A 23,771-nucleotide genomic window follows, 5' to 3' on the forward strand; every position below is an offset into this window, starting at 1 on the left:
TACATTTTAAGAAAATTTAGATAATTAAGGCATTTAACCAGAGTATTCCAGCTAATAGATAGAGGAGATATAAAATTACTACGTTTCCTTCTCTGCCTTGACAGACAAAAAAACAAATATGTGCTTTTGAAAATACAGAAAATAAGTGAATGAGTCCAACAAAAAAGTATTTAAGAATTGATGCCAATCATAAAACAAGAAATTTATGCTACCGTATGCAACATATTAAATGTTATAGTTAAAAACACAAAAGAAGTAAAATTTCAGAAATTCAGCACACAATTTTCAAGCTCTAAGAGACAGAATTGTCTGCATAAAAATATGTCTTAGAATTTTGCTTCTCATTCCATCTTTGATGCCCTGGGACTAAGATCCCATCTCTCCAAGCAGGAAGGCTACAATAAAACAAAATTAGAGCATTGATTAGGATGACTGTTTTATTCATTGTTATATATTATGTGTATATGTGTGTGTACAATACATAATGACACAAAAAGGAAAAATTTGTTTTTATTTATTTGTTTGCTTTTTTTGTTTTGTGAGTCCATCTTTCTAGCTGCATACTCAATGTGAACTTCACTCAACACTTTCCAAAGTATTGAAGTATATACATATATATGAAAAGTTCCAGAAATGATATTCCTTTTTATTTAAGATGTGTTTATTTTTCATCTTCAGAAAGGCTTGGCTTTGGAACCTAAAACATTTGCATACAGTAGAAAATATCCACATGAATTCAACAGGAAATTCGTGGCAGAGTTTATGTTTACTGGTGCCTAAATTTAGAGAACTGCAGTCATAAGTGACTGTGTTGAAACAAATAATTCAGAAAATTAGGAAAATTATTAAATATAGGACACCTTCTTCTTCTTCTTCTTCTTCTTCTTCTTCTTCTTCTTCTTCTTCTTCTTCTTCTCCTTCTCCTTCTCCTTCTCCTTCTCCTTCTTCTTCTTCTTCTTCTTCTTCTTTTTTGAGACAGAGCCTCCCTCTATTGCCCAGCCTGGAGTGCAGTTGTACAATCTCGGCTCGCTGCAACCTCCACCTCGTGGGGTCAAGCAAATTCTCCTGCCTCAGCCTCCGGAGTACTTGGACTACAGGCACACTCCACCAAGCCCGGCTAGTTTTTTTTGTTTTGTTTTGTTTTGTTTTTTGTATTTTTAGTAAAGACGGGGTTTCACTGTATTGGCCAGGCTGGTCTTGAACTCCTGACCTTGTGATCCACGCTCCTTGGCCTCTCAAAGTGCTGGGATTACAGGCATGAGCCACCGCGCCCAGCCAGGACAGTTTCTTCTTTAACTTAAGGAAGAGAGGATCAAAACCGTGATTAATTTATACTTTGGGTTGTCTCTTATTTAAAGAAAGTAACTGTGCAGAAAGCCCCACTTGCAACCAGAAGTTTACTCTATTGTAAGTATCATAGGGATGGTGCCCAATTTTTTTATTTCTTTTTTGTTTTTCTTAATTTTTACTTTTTTGTTCACCTCTAACAGTGTCTGCAGTGTCTGCAACACAGTGGATGATTCAGCAAGTATGATTTTTGAGTAAAGAAATGATAAGCCAACAAAAGACAAAACACAGGAACAAGTTACTAAGACAGGTTTTAGAAATATTTGAGACCCCAAAAAAAGACAAAAAGGAAAAAAATACACACTTATACTACATTGTTTACACATCGATCTGCCATTAGGCAAAAGATTTGAACAGAAGATTTCTGAATACCCATTTGTGCTATTTCATTCCATTCACCAGTGGAATAAAATAATGGCATGAAATATCACTATCACCATTAATGTCTATAATACAGTATAATAAATATAACGTTCAGTACCATTTTCAAGCCAGGCTTTCCAAATACTTTTCTTACTTTTCAGTCTTCTAACTTTATGAACACTTTCACTATGTCTCCAAATGTTGCTTTTCTAGGTTTGCTTTGTTTTAAGCCTATTATATTTACATTATATTCTAGGGAAAGATATTTGCTAACAGGGATGCAACTGAACTTAAATCATTTTTTTTATTATTTTTAAATCTTTTTTTATTTAACTAACTAACCAAGGAGCAATGCCATGAACGTAAGTCTCTTAACTCTTGGTTTACTCCCACAATCTGCCTTTCTCTAAGCAACAAAACTGAATATTAGATCGCATATGCATTAGTGATAGATATCAAAAATGGTAGTAATTAATCTGCTACTCTTCTCACTCTTCATTCCAGGAGAAGACATTACTATCCATCCTTTAACCAAAATAGGGAAGATCTGAGTAATTTCCTTCTCATATCAGTCCTTTTCTTCACATGTTTAAGTGGCTGTGAAATATTAGAAATTCTGCTTAATTTAGTTTCTCTCATCTTCCCTTCCTGTTAAGAGCTAGCTCTTTTGCTAGATGTAAGTCATCTTACATAGTAAAAATAATTTCCTCATTTTGCAAGAAGCTCTTGGAATCTGGTGCACAGTACCACCCTCCAATTCAGCTAAATATGTATGTGTGTGTGTATGTGAGGGTATCCTCTCTGCTAAGATCATGTCTATTTTCCTTAACATGCTCTGGTTGGTAATGTAGAGACTATACCATCCAGAAGATCCCCTTTAACTTTAAAGTTTTTCTAACAATAGATGATATTTCTCATTTCCTTTAATCCATATAATTCAGTGGTCATCTCATGTATTTATTCAGCTTAATTTATCAAAATCACAGACAAAAAGCCCTTTTCAAAAATATCAATATTTTTATATATTGTGGTCATCATGAAATACAAACTTTAATTAGTAAAATAACATAAGACTCCATGAATTTTGTAAAGAAAACATGAATGTCTTCCTCTCTTTTCTTCCTTCCTTTGACTATAAAAGAGATAATAATAGAAAATTTCATATTGTAATTCTATAATTTGTAAAAAATACTAAAACATTTCTACTTGGATTTGTTCAAAATTTATTCTTTTAAAATTCTTTCTGAATTTAAAAATGTTAAATGTGATTTGAGAAATAGCACAAGGCCCTTGACAGAGGCTCCTGTCTGTGTGAGTGTATGTATGTGTGTGTGAGTGTGTGTATATGTATGTATGTGTATAGAACCATTTTGAAGTTACCTTCTTTTACTATAAATAGCTAACTCTTATGCTAAATATGTCTTCTTTCATATGAATAATTAGTGATTTTTCTTTTTATGAGATTCTTTCGTCACATTACACAGTACTCATCCTTCAATTTAACTTGATCAATTTAACTATTGCCTTGAAATATACACCACTTTAAACTTACAAATTAGAAAAGGCAAGATGGCTCAATAATTCAGTTTCTTTATAAGTCAAGGCTGTTTGTTGTTTTCAAATTATTGTATTTTTGTATATATTTATTTGTGATCTAGAACTAATTATCATGTAGATATAGAAAATTATGTATATAGGTGTGTATGTAGAAATTGTATTCTATACATTGAAAAATAATTATCAATGTGTTGCTCTATTGAAAATTAACACAATTTAATAAACCTCATTTTAAAATGCTGAATACTTGTTTCCACATGAGACAAAGCATTTTTTTACTTCCACTTTAAAATGTTCTGAATTATTGCTTTAACTCTAGTTACTTTTGTGAAGTTGCAGGCTGAAAGTAAATAAGTATTGTTACATTACATTAGCATAATAAATATTTGTGAAAACATTTATTGCTTTATGCACTAAACTATGAACTACCTATGCAATGCCAGATTGTATTTTTTAAATCTTTGATTATTCCTATTTTCTATTAAACTAACTGAGAATTTATTGATAAACAATTTTACAACTTGTCACACAATTCACATAAAGTTTGCTGAAAGGTTCAGAATAAATGTGAACCACGAGTTTAAGTGAAATTGCTTGACTAAATAATATTTGATATATGTCAACGCAACATATTTCACATTTAAGAAGATTAAAATATGTGGGGTTTTTTTAGGCTGTTGACATTTCAGATAAAATTTTCAATATGTAGACTCTCTTTTTAAAATTATTCTAAGCTGATTTGTTAGGAGAAAGATATTGGCTTAACTACTGTGGTAGGGTGCAAATTTTACAATCTTGCTTGGGTCAACCTTGCTAACTTGATCTCCTGTCACTATTCCTTTTTCCACTTTATGCTTTATCTGCACTAAATTAAAAATCATTTTTGTTTTTCTGTTTTTTTGTGTGTGTTTTTCTTTTTTGAGACAGATTTTTGCTCTGTTGCCCAGGCTGGAGTGCAGTGGCATGATCTTGGCTCACTGCAACCTCTGCCTCCCGGGTCCAAGTGATTCTCCTGCCTCAGCCTCCCGAGTAGTTGGGATTACAGGCACACATCACTATGTCCTGATAATTTTTGTATTATTAGTAGAGACTGAGTTTCCCCATGTTGGCCAGGCTGGTGTCGAACTCCTGACCTCAAGTGATCTGCCCACCTTGGCCTCCCAAAGTGCTGGGATTACAGGCATGAGCCACCGCACCTGGCCAAGGATCATTTTTGAAATATATTTTATTTATTTCTCTCTAATATTATACGTGCTACTCTTACTCTCTAAAACGTTTGCTCTCTTCATCCCTTTATTATTTGTCAAGTTTCTACTTCTTTCAAGTCCTGAGTCAGGTGTTTCTTTATCTATGCACCCCATCCATCCTGAGAGAACAATGGTCTCACTTGTTACTCTCGCAGTTGGTATACATCTCTATAAAAGACCTTCTTACAAATTTAGACTTAGTTGTTTATAAAACTACTATTATCCATTATAATAGTCAGTAAAGAGACTGACTATTATCCATTATAATAGTCAGTAAGGAGAGGGGAGAATGAGCGTGGAGCCCCTCATCCCTCTCCACTGGGTTAGGAAGTCAGAAGGGAGACCCCGCGACGCCTTGCTGTGGAAGCTGGGATGCCTCCGAATGACCTTTGGGGTCCACCCGTCATTATCAGACAGGGGTGAGAGACAGCGCGGAATATCAACACCACAAAGTAAACTGTAGTGTATAGTTCCTGAGAACAGTGACTATAACTTAATCACCTTTCTATCACTATCCTTTAATAAAATGCCAGATAGATTATGTTTCTCTTCTGTCACCAATATCACTCAACCCAAGAAAGCCAAGACTACAAATTACAAGACATCTGCAGTTCCCATTCTTTTTATGAGATGAAAGACTCTAGGAAATATAAAACTTTGGGTGTTATTCTTTAGGATTTCCATTTTCACTCCCAAATGAATATTAGTTTCAACTGGGAAACTTTGAAAACTGTACTGCTGATAGCTATAGAAGGGAGGGAACTTCTAGGCAGACAGGGGTGGGTCCCTGGCAAAACACCTTTGAGCCAAAAGGCCTGAAACCTACAGCCCAAAGTGAGAACTTCCATCTCTGTGTGCCTGCTCTCTCCCGATTGGTTCTTTCTGAATAATGTCTTTTAACCAGTGGAATGCTGCCTTTTCCAAAACTACCTACGGCCGCCCCTATCCTGTACCTATAAAGACCCCAGACTCAGCTGGCAGACAGTAGAAGTGGCCAGACATCAGGGAGAAGCAGCTGGATATCTGGGAGAAGCAACTTTCACTTCAGAGATGGTGTCTGGACTAGGCAACTTGACCTCGAAAGAGAGATGCTTGAGAGGCGGCTTGACTTTAGGGGAGAGGGACCTTCCGTTCCTGTCCCCTTTCCAGCTCCCTCTGCTAAGAGCTGCTTTCATCACTCAATACAATTCTCCACATTCACCATCCTTCAATTCATCTGCATGACCTCATTCCTCTTGGGCACCAAACAAGAATTTGGGATGCACTGGGTGCGGGTACCCAAAAAGGCTGTCACACTGGCCCTTTGCCCTCACTGGTGAAAGGCAGCTTCCCCACGTGACGAGGCAAAGGGCTTGCCGAGCTGATAACACACTGCTGTCTGCAGGTGGAAGAGCTAAGCGAGCATTGTAACATGCCCTCTGGAGCTTTGGGGTCACAGGCACCCCTAACCTGGACACTGCTGCGAGGCCCTCCCAGACTTCGCTCCTGCAGGTGCCAAAGCAACTGGTTCCTACACCAGGTTGCTCTGGTGCCTGCACTCGTTTGCTCACACGCTCCCTCCCACAAGGAGTTGACTGGGATGGGCTGAGTAAATGAGGCACCCATGTTGCAAGTCCTACAAAGGGGTCAAGAAAATATCTGGCATCACTACTGGTCAGAGTCCACCAAAGTAAATAAAACACCAAATTTGAACTCCAGCCCCAAGAATAATTACCAATTCTGGGCCAAGCTCATAGACACTAAACTGCTTCACCATAAGAGACCATACATGTGTGGACATATTTGTCTCTGAGAGCTAATTGACACCAGGTTGTAAATTAATGAAATCTCTAGCCAAATGAGATGAAATTAAGTTAGATGTAATGACGCTGCTTGCTACTTGCCAATATATCCTAGGGGAAGTAAGAGAAGATAAAAGTAAAACATTACCCCAAGGCTTAAGTTTAAAGCCCACAAGTGCCTCACAATATCTCCACAAGAAAGTCCAGAAGTTCACAAACACGTTACAAATTTTATACTGTCTAAATCTAGTATACATCTCATTTACGTTTTTCTAATTGCTCAAAATTTCCACTTTCCAAGGTTGTTTATCCTCAAGAAGATTTTCTTCCATAGTGCTCTGCTTATCTTGGTATCATGATCCAAGTTATTCTCATTTCCCAAACCCAAATAGTGTATTGATTTCATGAAATAATTAAATTATTCCTGAATCTGTAATTGGATTGACTTTTTAATATGTCTGTAAACTTCATAAGAGCAGAGAACTTGTCTTGTATACCCATTATTATAACTGGATTATGTAGAAGCATTTCTTGCTCTTAATAAGCCAGGTTTGAATGAATGAAGTCATGTTCAATAACAAAGAAGTTTTGTAGATGTGTAAATATTTGAAAAACAGGATAGTAATTATGTTACCTATAGCAAGCACACCAGAACACAACAATCTAGGTAAATCTTGTTCCCTTTCAGTACTGCCTTTTTCTATTTGTAAGACCTTGGAAAATAATTTTGTCTTTCAGTGAATCAAATGTCATTTTCTATATAGAATAGAATAATAGCTATCAGGTAAGGTTATTGTGAGAATTAAATATGTTAATGGCTGTAAAACACAAGTAATTGTTCTAGCACATAACACTCAATAAATGTTTGCTCTTATTATTGAGTAGAGTGATTGTTTTCTTAGGCATCTATGTCAGTTTCAGTAACAATTATCTGCTTTTAATTATAAAATTCTAAATATTAATTATAATCTTCTATCTGATGACAACTGCTAATCTAAGATCACAAAGTATTCTCCACATTCAAAATTAAACCATGGTTTATAATTTAATTCAGACCTGTATGAAAATATATGAATTAGAATGTCAGGACGAGAAGAAGTTTATTCTGTTTTAGCATAGGCTCCTTTTCAACTAAATAGGCCCTAGTTTTCTGGCTAGAAATCAGGCAGTAACTTTGCAGAAATTCTGTCCAATCCCCTACTTTAATTAATTTCCCAAAATGTGAATAGGAGGAAGAAATACAAATTTAAAAAAATTGGAAATATTTTAAAATATTGAGTGGAAAGATTGTAAGCTATCCCTATATTTTTACAAGAATCTTGAATTAAAATATCTGTTAATATTGTCAGAAAATATGTCAAGTGTTCTCGTTTAATATCAATAAAATCTGCATAAACAATGGTTTCAAATTTTTCCATATATAATTCACTATAGAATATGCCTTTGAAGAATGTTAAGGGTTGTTTCTAGCTAGAAAGAACAATTGGTTTACATGTCCTGAAATAAATATTCATTTCACCCTTCCAGCCACGTTGCCATTTTTGTCTTTGCTCCTTGATGATTAGACAGGTTTAAGGAAAACAAACATTTTTTGTTTGTCTTCAAAAGGACTTTATAGTTCCTATGGTGTAGATATACTGCATGTAGTAATTTAAAATAAGATAGAGTAATTTATTAACTGCCATTAAGCAAAATAAAATTTGCACATGGGCTCTTCCACATTTACACTGGAATAAGAACTAGAAGTTTCTTGCATTTCATTTACACAATTCTTAACTAGAGTTTGAAAACCTTTCCATAGTCAAAGTAGTTTCAAAGGATGATTACAGAGACGAAACTGTCACCGAATTCTGCTTTCCTCAGCAATTCAAAATAAAACTTCAGAAAGCATTTTGTCCTGCTCAACCTATCATTTAATATGAAATTTAAAGCTGTCACTGATGTCACATTATTAGGGTAGAAAGCTTGATATCATGTTGACACTAAATTCCATTTAAAAGCTTCCAAAAATATTCTGGGTGTCTTGTTCTGACTTTTACAACCTTTGATAATATCATCTTGAGTAGATCACTCAAGAGCAGAAATCAGTGATTTTTGTAAGCTTCATAATGGTAGAGAATCCCACATGGAGATATTTGCATTCTACTGCTTTGTACTAGAAAATGCACAAGGTGAATGTAATGAGATGAGTTGGGAATATTGCAATGCTTTAAGTGAGAAATGATGAGTCTGGGCTTAAGTTGAAAAAAAGGGCAGCGATTAGAGGAATAAATATTTGTAGAGTGAATTGGACCGGGTGACCTATTTGTGGTTGGGAATGGGAAGGAGAAGCGGACGGTAGTCGTAAAATCTTTTATTGTTAGACTGGGTAGACGGACATGCTACTAATGGTCATACACTCAGGTTGGGGGTGAGGATTTTGAGGCTTTATGATAACCTCTGTCCTCCCCACATGAAAAAACAGTTCTAGAATTACTGCATCAATGCAAGAAGGTCTGGGACATTTGCCATAAGCCAGCTCCGACCCCATGCATTATGAGCAAATGTGGTTTCTCTCAACCTCAGATATCTTCAACTTTTATTTTTCTGGCCCTTGGGCATATAATTTGAACCAATCTTTCCTTTAATTAGAATGCAGATTCCAGTAACTCTATTTACAAATTTGGCTTAAGCCTAGGAAAAAGTACGACCCAGTCTACCTTACTGATGTATTTCAGGGTAGTTTTGACACTCAGGCCTCTATTTTACTATAAGTAAAAACAAAACTAGCAAAGCATCACCTATCATAAGTGGAAATTCAAAGAGCACTACATATGATGGAGACATATTTTAAACATCCAATGTCATTATCTGAGAGGTAGTAAGTTGGAGATAAATTAGAACAGATTTTCTAAACTATCTGTGGTAAAGGATCAGATATTTATTTTTAAAAATACCTAATGTGGTGTAAACTGATACTTATGCAAAATGCAAGAAAAGTGAATCCGTTGAAAAATTAGATGAAAAAGCACAAATACAAACCATCCAATTTTGTATTAATATAAAGTTTAATCTGTATAAAATTACTCTGTCAAATTGCTATAAAAAAGTTTCTAAATATTACTGTGGATCCTGCCTTTGTATTAAAAAGTGTCAAAGAGCTCACACACCTATTCTGGTCTGCCAAACGCAGTTTGGGTAGCATTAGATTCAGAACCTGAATCCAAAAGAAAACATTTAGATCAGCACTAATGAGGCTAGAAGGAGATTATAATTAGGAAAAGCAAATGCAATGAGAAACAGCCCTGAATCACAGCTGAGATCAGAAAAGAAAACTGTAAAGTCATTTTATCATTTTTTAAAAGAGAACTTTTTACTAGCTAAACCTGAAAATGCAGGGGAAAGCAAGTTGATATAGCTGGAGTTGAAATTTTGTCTATTTTTAACAAGGTGGAAAGAACGGTATGTTGGAGCATAAGTGTTGGAGAGGATGAAAGACAAGAGTGGGATTTTTGAATGTAAGATTAGAAGTTTGAATTTCCTGTCTTACTTTTAGATCTTTATTACAGTAATTTTTAGAATAAGTCTATCTGGAGTCTTCTAAACTAGCAATTTTTATTTGTTACATAAACTATTAACTGCTACTTTTTTCAGATTATATTTTTTTTTCAATTTCTGCCAGAAGTATCTTCTCAGTCCTCCACTCCTAGAGTAGACCATTTCTCAGATGCAAATATTTACAATAGTAATGACACAGAGTGGCAGAGTATTTTTATTCCTAGATGTCACTTCATGGAGGAAAGATGACCTGATATAAGATTATTGATTGACACTCATTAATCCAGTATTAAAACCGTGAGAGCTGAGAATTTTTCACATTCCTATCTCCATTTGGGGAAAACTGTCTTCAGTATTTTTTTGAAATGACAAGAAAAATTTAATATTGAATTGCAAGGAATTTGAATTCTTGACAGATGTAATGATTTGACAGCACCTAATTCAAATGGAGTTGCACAGATCTCTAGGGACAACGGAATAAAGAAACTTAAATGATCCCAATGATGGAGGAAGAGCCAAAAATAGAATAAATGACATTTGTTTGACTTGTCAACCTGTGAAGCCTACCTCATGATCACTGAGGAGCCTCTAACAGAAGTTTCTCTTCTCAAACCATTGTCACAGATAGATAGGGACTCCTAGAGAGAAAACATAAACTTACACATGTGACAACTCAAGGGGCAGTGCATATAATGGAGCTATTTTAAATTAACAATTCCACAACTTTCACGGGAAACTCTGTAGAGAAAATAACCAATTTAGTTTTGTGGAAAAATGAAAGAGAAAATTCAAAAAACTTGACAGCATATTTAACCCTAAAGTTTTGGTGTGGGCTTTTTAAATGTAATCACTTACATATAACTACATATACTCATAGTGAAAAGAATGTATATGTATGAAAAAATGTAATTTTCTAGACTTAGATATAAGAACAAAGTGCTATTGTTAAGTCTTTTACTTGAAGAGAGTAATTGTCCAGAACACTATGTACATTAAGGTAAAAATAGAAAGAGTACTAATTGAGTAATAATAACAATAATAATAGTAATAAATGTTTGTGGCATATTTACCAGGTGAAGGGCACTGTACTGAAAGTTTTATGTGTGTTATCGGGTAAATAATATTATCTTTGTTTTTGTGCAGACATGAAAATGAAGGCAAAGATCAGAGAATTTGAATGACCTGCAGAATGTCACCTTGATGAGTTACATGTCAGAGATTTGAGTATGATCAGTGTGGTGTCATTTTATTTAGTTCTTTGTTCAGCCTCAAATGCCTTAGCAGTGATTAGTCAACACTTTCATATGAGTTGTAGCATGCCACCATTTTAGTAAAAGGAGTGTTGGACAGAGATAAAGGAGACAAAATGTGGTTCTGACTCTTGAATTAGGCGGTTATGTTATCCTGAGTAACCCATTGTCTCTGTAAAGCTCTCATATCCTACGTGTTACAAGAAATTACTGAAATAGCTTTTTAAAAAAATTTTCCATTCTGTTTAATGTATACATAAATGAGCTACTATAATTATTGCATGTTTATTTTATGTACTACCCCCTCATCTTAAACCAACTAATTCGTGTTTATGAGCTATGGATTCAATAGATAAAATGAAAGGATGCAGACTGTTTAATGAAATACAGCACATCATTACCAGCTACCACTAGAAAATGACTCATAATTCATGTCCATGAAAGGGTGCTTTAGTAGCATTTTCATAAACAAATGGAAAATTGTTGAGTATTTGTTAGATATTCTAAAGAGTATGCTTTATCTGAATGTGAGTCTCAGAATTATCTAAGCCATTACTTGAGACTGTTACGTGAAAATATCAACAATTTCATTACATTCTGAAAAATTGGTTCTTAAGTGCTTTGAAGCAAAAATGATAACAGTCTGGAAGTTTGAAAGTATGAGTCTTTATTTCAGAAATAATGGAACATGAAAATAAACAGTACTCAATCTACCATAGAAATTATTGTATACTTTTTGGGAAGCTTGAGGGACAAGGGAAAAGAAGGAATATATATTATTTTAACAAGTATTATCCCAGGAGTTGGGGAAATAGGTACTAGAGTAGTTCCATGAAAATTTTGTTCTGATAAGTTCCATTATCATGAATTGTATATTTTTACATTCCTGATACCATGATTTTGAGAAGATGCAGTTTGTTGTAGTTGTTTTAAGGCAATTGGAGACGAACATAGTTGCAAGTATGGATTCAAAAACCACACACACACACACACACACACACACACACACATTCATGCACATTTGTTTTCCATTTTATTAAAGAAAGTATACTTTTAAGAACAAGAACATAGAAAAAATGTAATTTCAAATTGATGCATGTATCTCTCAGTATAAAAATCTGCTGGATTCCCAAGTTGAAACAGCAAGTTCAGATAGCCAGAGAGAGTGTTTCCTTGAAATGATTCCATCACAATTTATCGACATGTTTTCAGCTCCAGAGATTGGATAGTGAGTGTTTAGGTAGTAAAAGACATATGGCATTTGGCTTTATGGAAAAGTTTGTACAGTGATTTTATTTTTCTTATTTTTACAAGAGTCCAATGAAACATTATCACAATTAGCAAGCAGCTTATGATGGTTGAACTAGCAGACTGCAAGAAAAATATGTTTGATAAATTGCTGATGTAGATAAGTCAATGGATTTTAAAAAGTAGGCTTACAATAAAACAAAATAAAATAAGACATGTAATTTTAGAAATTGAAGAAATATAAATATTTTAAAAGGTAAATTAATTGTTCATAATTTAACAGAGCTCTGATTCTATGTTCAGCCCTTTTTAAAAATGTACCAGAGAGTCTTACTCTTTTAGGCCCATTACATTTATTCTTGTACATTAAAATATATAAGTATAATCTGGAAAAATCCTGATTTTTAAATGATGGAAGATTTTCCTTCCTGTAAAATATAATTTTTACAAAACAGTGCACAAAATTTTCTGAGTAAATTAAAGCTCTCTTGATGCAGTCTGTACATTACCCACAGCTTGTTCTATCCAGTTGAGAAAAAGACAATTAAGAATATTAATAAATCATATTGAAATGTTGATGAATTAAGAATGCAAATTGAAATTGGATTTAAACAATGTCTTCAGTAGTATAAGACAGAAATAACATGAATTAATCTTCTTTAATAATAGTATCCATCTTGTAATATTTCACTTTCTTATGTTAGGTTGGTGCAAACTTCCCTTATCATGAGTTGTATATTTTTACACTCCTAATATCATGATTTTGAGAAGATGCAGTTTGGTGTAGTTGTTTTAAAGCAATTGGAGACCAACATATTTGTAAGAATGGATTCAAAAACCAAACACACATACACACACACACACACATGCACACACACACACATTCATGCACATTTATGTTCTAAACATTTTATTAAAGAAAGTATACTTTTAAGAACAAGAACACAGAAAGAATGTAATTTCAAATTGATGTATGTATCTCTCAGTATACAAATCTGCTGGATACCCAAGTTAGAACAGCAAGGTCAGATAGCCAGAGAGAGTGTTTCCTTGAAATAATTTCATTACAATTTATCTACATGTCTTCAATTCTAGAGATTGGATAGTGTGTGTCTATCCAAACTCTGGAGCTGAAAGCATGTTGATAAATGTTGATTGTTCATTTCATATTATTTGATATTTTGCCAATTTAATATCTCATTTCATTTTTATTTTAACTCCTTAATGATACATCCCCCACATGTCACAAATTATTGTGTTTCTTTAATTTGCCATTTATAGATTTTATACATTAAAATGCCATTTGACATTAAAAGTAATGGCAAAAACCATGGTTACTTTTCAACCAACCTAATAGTATTGGAGAAAAAAAATAAACACTTGGATTTAATTACACTGTCAATACTGCATACAGTTTCTCATAGAATGTTCTGAGAAGAAACTGAATAAGCAGTCACAAATAGAAAAGAAATAAAATTAATGTTGAAAGTTTAGAGAAACTAAGACATGTATATAAGCTTTCTAAATAGAAGAAAAAAGTGAAATTTTGTTTGTTTATTCAATATTATTTGACATTTTGCCAATTTAATAATATCTCATTTCACTTATATTTAAATACCTTAGTGATACATCCTCCATGTCATAAATTATTGTATTTCTTTAATTTGCCAGTTACAGATTTTATATATACCTAAAAAATATCATGATCAATGTCTGAGGTTAACACACATTATTTGTTTGAAAAATCAATAAGTAAAATATAAAGCCAAAGAACATGAGATAAGAAGTGTTTTATTAAGTTTTTTTTTACAAAGCCTGGAGATTTAATTCTGAAAGAAAATGAATACTGCAGTCTTGAAATCACGTGATTTTATAGGTTGATGTAGATGTCCCATTTAATGAAAAATGTTGTCCTTCAAGTGATTCCACTTATACTTCTGACTAGATTAAATTTCCCCCCTAGAAACCTAATGAAGATAATGTATCTTTTTGCTTTCTTAATTCTTTCCTAACAAAACTTTTGTGAGGGGGAAGGAAATGAAGAGATAATCTTTTGACAACATACTAAAATGAAAGCATTATAAGATGGACAGGAAACATGAGTAAATTTATTGGTTAATTAAGTCTTTAGTTTCTCTTAATTGGCACAACCTAAAATTATTTATTGATAGCAAATGGTTCTATGTTCTAAATAAATTTTATTTTTGGACACTGTGGAACAGTTAATAAATGTATCAAATATTCTACCTCGTGTTATTTTTGCTAGTTTACACAAAAACACAATTATTTTGTTTGATTCTGTTTTTCATAAATATTTATGTATAATATCATTTTCCTTGTAAACAGGATTTTTCCTGCCCAAAGGGAGGAAAAACAATTTGTGTGTTAATTTTATCTCACTGGTTTTGTTCAGCTTCAGTAGTTGTGTATATAAAGGAAGAGATTAGATAAAGGGGAATACAAGCAACCCCTGTTGTGAACGTAAAGAATTTTAATTAGCCATGATGATAATTTTGAAGCATTTCAGGTATATTCCACCCCTCTGCTCATAGAACAGACCAGCTGCTAAATGGTTCCTGTCAGTAGTCCTTCAAAACTTATTTTGTTTAGATTTTGCTGCCCCCTACAGAATAACCAAAGGCATTCATGAGTTTGCCATGTACCTTCAACTTCAAGATGAGAGCATTTCATGTCTTCTTGAGATTCTGGTAGAAATAACCCTCACATGGTAGTTTTTATTACTAAATTTGGCATATTTTGTATTACTTGTGACACAGCTGAACCTCCCTCAAAATTAAAATAAAGAAATAAAAAGCATTCTTTCCAATAATTCCTCCCTTCTCTACACGAAAAGAAAAAGTAAAAATTTTTAAAGAGAAAAACTAGTAATGTTTAAAATTTTCAAATAGTAACCTCATTGTAAAACTATAGAGCGTTTTGCCTTTTTTCCCATTTCATGAAAGACAATTTTATTGTTCTAAGTGCTTAACAGGCATAAATAGGCCATGGAACTGACAGGGGGAAAAAATCCTTCAATAAGATAGATAGATTATCTGGTTTACCTTCAAAAGTTCTAATCTATGTAAAAAAAAAATGCATTCACTACTAATAAATATAAAATGGTTCTTTCTTTGAAAATCACATTATTGATTTATCAAACATCTTTTTTCTGGGTCTTCAAATAAAAAAATGTGTATTTGTTTTTAAATAAACTCCTTGCTCATAGTAGAAAAATATAGGTTAAGTGCAAAAATTTAGGTAAACCTGAAAGTGGCAATTCAGTGTGTTCTATTTCCCCAATAAATTGTTTCCTAAAAATGTGCAACACATGTAATTACTTTCACTTATTTTTTGTATTTTTATCAGCTGTTTCTCTTTGCTAGAATGGTGCTTATGAAGAAATAAGATACATCAATCATAAAAGGCGTTACTATTTCTAAATAAAAAATCGTCATCACCACTAAATAGTGACTAGTAATGGTGAGGCATTAACCCAACAGTCTTCTTTCAGGTCAAGCATGATCTTTAGCTAAGAGAATTTCATTCATTGCTACAGAGAACATTTTTAAATTTTTTAATGAAAATGAATGGTATATTTTAGTTGTAAACATTTATTATTTTCCTGTTTAAAAAAGTAATATTTAGAAAAAACAAAGTTTTCATGAAGATAGCTGAAATAATTTCCATTGCTAATTACATAAGGTAGCATACTCTATTTAAATATAAAGTCAGACTAATATGTGAAAGTGGCAAAAAAGTATAAGTATTAAAACAATCTGGAACTTAATATGAGCAATTTGACTCAACATTTTTTAATCTCCCATCTAATAAATAAAATTGTTTATTTAAAGATAAATACATCCAATGTTCACCTAAATGGCACTTTTGATCTCCAATATACATCAAAATTTTGAATGTTTATACCCTTACAAAACATCCTTTTAACTCCTAATATAGGGTTATCAGTGCTAAAAGCCTGTGAAGCAAATTACCACTATCTTAATTTTAAATGACATATCTTTAAAAAAAATTAAGAAACAGCATAGGAAATAAAGACTACCTAAGCTACACTAAAAAGGAACACATGATTTTTAAACTGAAATATTTTAGTTCTACATTCTTTGCATTTCCAAATATGTTTTATAATCAGCTTATCAATTTCTGCAACAAAAACAGAAAATATGTCTTGGTAAAATTTTACATGATTGACATTATATGGTTTTGCCCTTCATAAAAGCATGAGTTTTATTTTCTTTATAAAATTACATATTTTTTCCCAAGAAAAATATTGTATAACAAAGCTATAAATTTGAGAAAATATATTCAATAATCAGATATTGTTTTTTATTTAATTGTAATCTCAGTATATATTATTAAGTGAAATTAATTGTAATTCTTTAAAAATCAAATAGGAATCTTTTATCTAAATGAAAACAGATATTGTCTGAAAGTATATATTTAAAATACATTCATAATTTCAGTCAGGAATAATGAAATAAAATTGCAACACTGGAAATTGATTATTAACTACTTAGGTTCCTTCTTGGAAATTTCCGTAGTATATAAAATTCCGAGGTCTTTATTCAGGACTTAGTATTAAACTTCCTGCAAGGGAACTATTTTATTTAGGTCTAGATGCTTCTGATATTCCTTATCACTGGATTCTGGTATGTATTCTGTCTTTTCATTAACAACCTTAATTTATTTTTAAAGAGCATATTCTTGAATAATAAACATCATAGAAGTGCATGGAATTTTAGAGAATAATAACATATGTAAAAGAAAAAACAATAGCAAGTATAAAATGAAACTATATTGGTGAATGAGACAGAATGATTACGAAATACAAATTGGGTAAACTTAATGCTAAACAAATAATAAATAGTAATAAAGAAATAAAGTTTCTTAGTGCCATAGGCTGAGTAGAATGAGAATGAGAACAGTGATTAGCTAGGTGATTCACTGTGATAATTGAGATCTATTTATCCAGAATATTTTAAAAAGGATATTAGATAGAAGAGTATGACCCTAAAGTGACTTTGTCATAAAAAAGCATTTAAGTACTAAGTTTAGCTTGCTGTATTATAATATTAATCTTAGTGCTTGGTTTCAACATTTAAAAATATATTATTATTTAAAAGGGTAAATGAACTATCATGCAGAATGGACTTAATTTGTTCATTTGTTCTATGTTTCAATGCCATTCTGAAACATTTTTAATTAAGAACATGAAATGACTCATTAACATTCAGCTCTAAAAATAAGTGACTGATTACAATATGTTGAAAAAAGCAAGTTACTTCATGCATTGCCATCAAATATTTCTCAAAATGGACTCAAGGAATTCTGTTTCAAAACACTTGGGGAGGTAAAAGCTTCACATTAAAAAAAAAAGGACTCTAAGCAGTGCCATAGGTAGGGGGTCACAGATATACACAAAAGATAAAACTATGCATTCCTCTCAATCTATTCATTTAATGGTTATAAGGAGCCTGATTTCACCCCTGTAGCAAAAACTCTAGTTTTTATGTACTCAATACATGCAAAGTATTAAATAACTTTTATTTATTCATATAATAAATCATGAGTGAAGCTATTAATTCAATTCTCATTTTATAACTAAAGCAACAAATATATAGGAACTATTAATAGACTCTCAGAATTACACAGGAAGTTAACATCAGATCCAGATAGATAATAAAAATACTATGTACCTATTCATGCTTTAGCTATATGAAAAAAATAATAGTTCATGAACTCTAAAAATTACGATTTCAATCTACTTGTTTTGGACATTTTTAATGGTGTCAGCCATGTTCCTGTTCCCCTAATAACACTCTGATATCCTTATCGTGGGAATATTAATTGTTAGAAGCTTTTCAGAAATAAATAAAGCAGATTACATAGAAATACGTATGCTAAATGATACATTTCTTACAGAAAACTATTGTAAGCATGAGGCAATCTAGCAAGACTTCTTCTAGAGTGGCAAAGGGAGGACATTCCTCAAAAAAAAAATAAGAAAAACGCTAGCAAAAAGTGTTAAAATTGATGTTTTCAGGATTATAAAAACTAACCAAAGGCTTCCAACAACCTAAGAGTGTTTATTGTAGAAAAATGACTGAATTTGGAGCAGCGTGGTTTGTGTCCATTAAACTTGGCCTACTACCATTACCTTCTCTACAACTCTATGGTAGCTTCAAAATCCAGCAGCTTGACTGGTGCAGTGGCTCACACCTGTAATCCCAGCACTTCAGGAGGCTGAGGCAGGAAGGTCATGTGGGGTCAGGAGATCGAGACCAGCCTGGCCAACATGGTGAAACACCATCTCTACTAAAAATACAAAAATTAGCCAGGCATGGTGGCGCACACCTGTAGTCCCAGCTATTAGGGAGGCTGAGGCAGGAGGATCGCTTGAACCTAGGAAGCAGAGGTTGTAGCGAGCCAACATTGTGCCACTGCACTCCAGCCTGGGCAACAGAGTGTGACTCTTTCTCAAAAAAAAAAAAAAAGAAAAAGAAAAAGAGTAAAGAAAAGAAATCCAGCTGCCTTGCATGCTCTGGAGAAAGCAGACTGGATTTGGGACTTTTCAAAAAATCCTATTCCATAGCATTGTCACTTAGAATCTGTCTGATAGCTCTATAGAAATGCCCATTCCCAGGTTATTGTTGTTGTCAGACTAAATGAAATCCAGCTCCATGGAAAAAGCCTATCCCCAGAGTATTTGTCAAAAATAATCAATGGCAATATTTTCTTATCACAGCTGCTTTGGCTAAAGCGATGTATTTGCCTTATTTGGGCATCTTGTAATGAGGCATTTCCCTTAATTGGTCATGGTGTGATGAACTGGCTGCCTGTGATTGGCTGAACCCTGCCTGTTTGTGATTAGCTGAAGCTCGGCTGTTTTTTGGAGACTTAAATCAGGTTTTGGTTTGTTTATGTATTAAGTTAGTCTGCAGTTTGTTACATAAAAACTGTACGTATGAAGGCAGCCTCAAGTCAAATTTAATTCTGCATGCAACATACATTTTAATAAACAAAAACTCCACAACATTAATAACTAAAATTAAATACAGACAATTTCCATCTTACAATGGTTTGACTTATGATTTTTTTACTTTAGAATTGTACAAAAGTGGTGTGCATTCAGTAGAACAGTACTTCAAGTATCATTCAACCATTCTGTTATTCTGTTTTTCACTTTCATTGTAATTACATTTTCATTTTCAGTATTTTATTATGCAATAAGCTTTGTATTAGAGGATTTTGCCCAATGCTATGCTAATATAAATATTTTGAGCACATTTAAGACAGGATAAGCTAAGCAATGATATTCATTATGTTATGTATTAAATGCATTTTTGAGTTACAATATTTTCAACTTACAATGAGTTTATAAGGTTGTAAGCCTGTTCTTCATAAGTCAAGAAGCATCTGTACACTCAACTAACATATAATGAAAATAATGCAGACATATCCCAAAATAGAGGCTCAGCCTGGGAAGTTTCTTGGCTTCACTCAGGAAACAATTCAAGAGCGAGCCAACAGTGAAAGAAAGCAAGTTTATTAGAGCAACAGTGTACAGCAAAATGGCTATTCCACAGACAGGGCAGGGTTATACTATAGGCAGAGTGCTCCAGGGTAGCCCTCAAAAATTACTGACTACCTATATTTATACCCACTCAATTATATACTTAATTAAGAAGTGGGTTATTCACGAACTTTCTGGAAAAGGAATGGGGAGTTCCCTGAACCATGTAAGGCAACTTCTGGGTTGTGGCCATGGCATTTCTAAAACATCACGTAGCTGGTGGGAGCATCTTATGCAAATGCAAATAAGCAGTGACAGTAACTAGAGGTCACTTTCATCACCATCTTGGTTCTAGCTGGCTTTGCTGGTTTCTTTGCTACATCCTCTCTTGATAAGCAGGGTCATAACTAAGGCTCAGAAAACAAGTTCTGCTGATCTCCTACCTCAAAAATGGATACAGACATAGAATGAGATAGACAGAAGACTGTCTCCAAGAAATAATATCACCTCTTTCGTCCAATATAGAAATAAACAAGAGACTTATTTAGATATGACAAGATGAAACATCCTAAAATCAATCTACAAAGTCAGAAATTCATGTAATAAGGTATTTGTTATGCCCTCATTATGTGCTACAAGATGGAAAAGCAGACTCCAATTAGATGCAGTCCCAGTCTGTTAAGACTTGCAATCAGAAGGAATAAATACATAAATCAATAATTCTAATACATTTGATCAATTAGAGTGTTCAATGTAGCACAATAGAGAAAGGAAAAAGTGGTCCATTGTGTTTATGGTATAAGAAAAGTTTTTAAAGACAAGGTGGAAACATGAATTCACTGAGAAGAATGAAACTAGAGGAATATTTTAGGCAGTAGAGATAATATGAACTAACTTATAGAAAAAAGAAAAAAATTATCATGCTCAAGAAACTGAAAGTTATTAGTTATGCTCACAGTAAAGCAGAAGGCATGGTGTTATTAGGGAAACAGGAACTTGGGAGGGCCAGGCTGACACCATTTAAAAATCAACTCCATTTTAAACTAGCAAGGCACATTTCTTGCTAATCATGACTCATGGTCCTAAGATGTTTACTGCTAAGAGAGTAGTTTAATAATGTCTGCAAGGACAAACCCCTATGACAACAAAATGTACCGATGATCTAATATTGCATAATAATTTATGTTTTTAAGATGATTATAGTCATACTTTGTTGTACTTACACACTAAAATGCCAAGAATAACTTTCTTTAAATCAACAAAGTACTAAATGTTATGTTGTCAACCCACCAGCATGTAGACATAATGTAAAGTAGCTTTTACATAGACAAGACCCCTAGATAAGAAGTGTTTAAAAAAAAAAAGATGGTGGGTGCTTCCTTTTGCTTTCTGAGGATGCCCTACTATGTATCTGAGTAGCTTTCAATAAACTAGCTCTTTTCACTGCACTCTGTGACTTGCCTTAGATTCCTTCCTGTGTGAAATCCAAGAATTCTCTCTTGGGATAGGGATCAGAACCCCTTTTTCTGACAACTTCTTCCTGGCAATACCACAAAGGGATTTTAAGATGAGGCCCTAGGCTGGGGAAATTCAGTTTGCAGCAGAAATTGGCCACCTCTGGTAAGTAGGATCTGGGTGAGCGCACTTTGTTGTCTCTTCCCTTCCCTTTCTTGTCCCTTTTTCTTGTTGCAATGCACTTAGCCTTCTGATCCCCAGGAGACACAAGGATACCATGTTCCTTTATATTCTGTGGAGACTAGGGATTAGAGCTCCCTGCCCAGAGTTGTTGGATCCTTTGGGCTGTGTCTGCTAGGGAGCCTGGCCTTGTAGGATCTCCCAGGTTGGCCACCACCTTGTTGCACAATATTTTTTGGCCTTTAGAGGTATCAGGTTACAATGTTGCTCTGATGGATAAACTGAGGCTCAGAGGGATATTTGCCAGAACGTACTGCTTCTTGATCCCCGTGTCTCTTTTTTTGGCTGCATATTTGCTGTCTGTGCCTCACTAGTGATGCGCATCACCCTGAAATTTATACCTATCATTTTCTTTCTGGTTTTGATGATTTTTATTCTTTGGATTGCTTAATTGGTATCTCTCTGGACAGCATTGGAGGCCAAAAGCCTTCCGGGATCTAGTTTCATGGAGTAAAAACATAATTTTATCTAATTCAGAAATTATCTAAGGTCAATTAAATTATGGACTCAAAAATGGTTATTTATGAGACAAGGTAGAAAGGAACCAATATGTAGGGGAGAGAGAGATATGAAGAAAATTATGAATATAAAGATGTATTTTTTGTAAGGAAAGTTATGAAGAAAAGAGAATAATTTTGTATGAAAAAGGGTCTTATATGGTAAACTGTTGTATTAAATTAAAACAACTGATAAGTTAAGAGAGACAAAATTTAGAACAACTCAGAAAGTCCAAGCATGTTGTAGGTAGCCCGTGTAAGTTATGATAAGGCTTGTGAAGGAGAATTTATAAAAGGAATTTGTATGTGATTAAGTTGATTATAATTAAAAGGAAATCATTTATAATAGCTTTTGTAAGATTGGTCTCCTACGTAAAACCAGATTTTTCAAGGTATTGATTTGCTCTCAACAAAATTACAAGAAATTTTACTTTTAATTTTAAAAGCTTTCTCTTTTAAAAACTTCTCAGAATCATATGTCAGAAGTTCAACTTTGTCTGTGTCTCACTGCTTTCAGCGTATTTTCCCCTTGAGAAGACCTAAAATGACAACTCTCTCTTTCAAGTTTTTCATCAGCCCCTGTAATGTTTTTTCCTCTGGTTCTAACTGTTGTTATGGCCTGATGCTGTAATATTTTATCTTGAAAGTCAAACAAAAAAGCAACGTTTTCCTCTAGCATAACTTGATTCTCTACTCTTGGCTTTTCTTGATATATCTAAATTTTCAATGTAATCAGAAAACTCATGCTGTTCTTAAGAGTCACATAATCCCCTGCTATACTCATAACCTTGAAAACACTCTTCCTGTGTCTGATTAAATCAAGCACTTTTTTCACCAAGTTTGACTTCCAGATTATATAAATGGGCTTTCCTTAAGGAGAAGCAGTCACAGTGCAAAATATTTTTTTGTTTTGCCATTTTGGTAACTGGCTTTAGAAACAAGATTTTATAATTATTATGCCGTCTTAATTAGGTTTTTAGTTGCCAAATTTTAAGATTTAAAAGAGTTAAGGATTTTACGTCTATTGCCTTTCAAAGTCATTTTGATTATCACTTCAATAAAATGAGTAAGTATTATTTCACAATGACCTGTGATTCTCTTTTAATCAAATGTTTGGGTCTTTTAACATCTTTAATAAATGTTCCCAAAATCAAAATCCTAAATTAAGTAAGTCTCTGACTTATTTTTTTATTGCTGGGACTTTTTAAAACTATAAAAAATACTCACTGCAATGTTGTAGAATCATTTTACAGCTTCCAGTCAGACCATGAACTCCAGTATTACCACTCCCAGCCTGATAATTACATATACTGAAAAAAATCAAAGGACTCCCTCCAGCCCCCTTGAAAATGTCTTTATCAGGTGCTATTAACAAATCCTTGTGCTGTTAAGCTACAGGGCTTCAACTCCTGAGTACGTATATCTCATCTAAAGAAGGCATTAACTCCTGTCAGTTTCTAACACCAAATTCAAGTTAAACAAACTTCATCTTCAGATTCAGGCAAAAGCGACAATCAAAATAAACAGCTTTCATGAGACACATGGTCAGGCTTGTATTCAAAAGCATTAAGATTCATTTAATAATGTTGCCTTTATCTGAAATAATATAATTTATGCTATGCCTTGATACTGAATAATTTAAATGTTTAACTCATTTCCTGTCATTCTTAAAACTAGGCAGGACTTATTAGCTTTTTATTTAAAATATTGTTAATTCC

The sequence above is a fragment of the Homo sapiens genome, chromosome 6, assembly GCF_000001405.40.
Source record: "Homo sapiens chromosome 6, GRCh38.p14 Primary Assembly".
In the NCBI taxonomy this organism is placed as follows: Eukaryota; Metazoa; Chordata; class Mammalia; order Primates; family Hominidae; genus Homo; species Homo sapiens.